Source organism: Homo sapiens, chromosome 2 (genome assembly GCF_000001405.40).
Source record: "Homo sapiens chromosome 2, GRCh38.p14 Primary Assembly".
Lineage (NCBI taxonomy): Eukaryota > Metazoa > Chordata > Mammalia > Primates > Hominidae > Homo > Homo sapiens.
This window is the reverse complement of record NC_000002.12, coordinates 129,478,162-129,480,830: the sequence shown is the minus strand read 5'-3', so window position 1 is coordinate 129,480,830 and position 2,669 is coordinate 129,478,162. Positions and strand designations below refer to the sequence as shown.

The following is a 2,669-nucleotide window of genomic DNA, read 5'->3' as shown; positions in this document are numbered from 1 at the left end:
CCACTCCTTAAAAAGTAATAGCTAGCTAGGATTGCTTTCACTGCTTTTTTGCAAATCTGTAAAAAAGGGAAAGCATTTTCTAGCCAGGTCTAGAGGGAAAAGAAAAGAAGGACTATGAAAGCAGAGACCTTTTGACTTAGTATGGGGGTCGAGAGAGGAGGGAGAACTCATTACAGAATGGAGACCATGGGAGGGGACACAGGAAACACCTGTGATGAGCATGTGGCTGGCTCACTGGTGGCAATAGGTACATGAGAAGGTTGCAAAGGACTGCAGTGGGTGGTCACCTCCTCTCCTGGTCAGACAGGCTCCTGTCTCCGGAAGCATTAGCTGTGATGGGCAGGTTCCTGGGAATCCTCACCCTCCCTGCTGTTCTCAGGCTTCCTTCAGTAGAGACCCCAAAAAGCCCAGGAAGAGAGCCCCAGGCATTGGTCTTTTCTCTCTCTCTCTCTCTTTTTTTTTTTCCTTAAAAGACAGAAACTGGCTCTGGACTGAAGATTCCTGAAGGTCAGAATGGGAAGCTCCAGCCTGGTGACCATCATCCCTTTCTGCTTTCATTAGAAATTATTTTAACCGATAGGGATTCACACCCGAGACATTGTCCTGTATGTGATAAATGTCAGACTCACTCCGCAATTCCCACTCCCACCATAGGCTCCGCAGGAAATTTGCAGCACAGAAAGCAGGGACTTCGTTACATGCCTGTCATCACTGTTAATGGAAATGGCACAGCAAAATCTTCAGGCGCCACTTTGAAACAGCCCCCCTGGTGTTACGATAACATTCCTTCCCATTGCTTCTTAAAGAGTGCAATGGAATGTCAAAGGAGATATGACACTCCAGGAGGGAAGGTCTTTGCCTCCTCAAAACCAAATAATGTGTTCACTTTGCATTGACATAAACTGTTGTATCTGATTTAATAAATCTAAATTGATTATGTAGAGGCACACAGGGGATACAAAGAGAGCAGCTATTCAGTTAGATAATACTGCTTATGACAGTAAAACCTTCCTTGCCCCTACGTTTTCTTTCAACCTGAGAGGGGGATGATGTCTCTCTTTTGGAAGGAAGCTTTCTGTGTTAATGCTGCTCGTCAGAGACAGTAATAACACAGAAAGTTTGCTTCAAAACACCTTGAATGCTTCATTCTTCTTAATAACTAATAGAAGGAGAGAGTCCCACCTGGGGTGGAGGAGTACGAACTAATCAAAGGGCACAGTGGCAAGAATGGCACAGCCATGCATTTGGGCAAATCCTTAAAAATGTCTCATCTCCAAGAAAAGGCTAACAGAATCATTTCTTTGGCTACAGAGTAGGAATTATTCCTCAGGATGCTGACACTGGGAATGTCAGCCTCCTGATCTATGGTCTGATTTAGCAATAACTCTGCCTTCCTGTCAAGCCCGGGGAGAAAAGGGACTTTTCATAAGCCCACACTGTAGCTTGATGCGATCTCCTCTCCCTGGGAATGTCATATGGCCTCATCCTGCAGCAGTGTCTCTTGAAATGAGATGCTCTGCAGATTTCTGTGCTGCAGGATCAGGGATGCCAAAAACAGCATATGCACTGAATAAGTCAATCTGGTGCAAGCCATTTGCACCTTGTAGTGCTGTCTGACAACCCATGGGTCATGATCAATGCACTCTCATCCCTTAGCATCAGGCTCAAGCTCCTGAGAAGCAGCAGGACTTAACTCACTCTGCCTTCACAGTCAGCAGCCACTCTCTCAGAGCTGGTGTGGGAATCCAAAGTGAATAAATCAGAGCCCTCAAGACACTGAATGCCAGGAGCATGGTCTGAGAGACAGTGTGCTATAATAGAGATACATATGGAGGAAGCGGAGGAGGAAGGAGCAGATTGTGTTTGAGAATGGCTTAAGCAGAGTTGAAGCTATTTCTCAGGGTTATCAACTTCCACCAGAGGAACTGGAATTTGTTGTATTTCTCCTAAAATTTTGATGGTGAAACATTTATGTTTAGAAATCTCCTCTTAGTGCCTTTACATTACTAAACATTAAGAGATGATTGAAGGGAAAATGCACTTTAGACCAGGTGAAATTATGGCATCTTAGACCTATCCTGGGGGCCTCACTCGTGGGGCCCAGATTTAGTAGAAGAGACTTGTTGGAATTTAGGGGAAACACTGAACATCCTGTGCCCATCTGCCTTCCCATGAGCTGTGTCTGTCCCCCCACCTTTGGGGGAGTTGGTGAAATTAAGCAGTAAGACTAGGCCCACATCAATCCTTCACCTCTCTGTAAGGAGAGGAAACATCCTCTGGACCCCTCTGGGGTTGATCTGGCCCAAGCACCTTCACATACTATGGATTCACCATTGTATCCAGCCCACCATCAGGGCATCTAGCTGCCACACATCTGTGTCATCAGTTTGCCTTATCTACAGTCAAAATCACTTGAGATGCTCTGGGATGATGCATTTAAAATGAAAGTCAGATATTTCAGGGGGACCAGACTGGATAAAGGAATAATGACCATTCCGCCTGCCTGTTTATGGCATGTAACAAATAGTGAGTATGGACAGGTGGTAATGATGGCCGATCTGCACAAAGGGGGAAGAGGACAGGCCAAAATACTGGGAAATTCTATTTATTCTGGGATTCTTATGCTTGCTGCTAGTTTTCACCTCCCTCCATCTTTAAATCTGGAATAT

The 2,669-nt window shown here is 45.3% G+C and overlaps 1 annotated feature.

Moving 5' to 3' along the window:
• Positions 505–1,053: an enhancer, noted in NCBI's record as "NANOG hESC enhancer chr2:130237351-130237899 (GRCh37/hg19 assembly coordinates)". NCBI's record gives its function as "activates a minimal SCP1, AML or CMV promoter by ChIP-STARR-seq in naive H9 embryonic stem cells {active_cell/tissue: H9 hESC(naive)}" and the evidence as "EXISTENCE:reporter gene assay evidence [ECO:0000049][PMID:30033119]".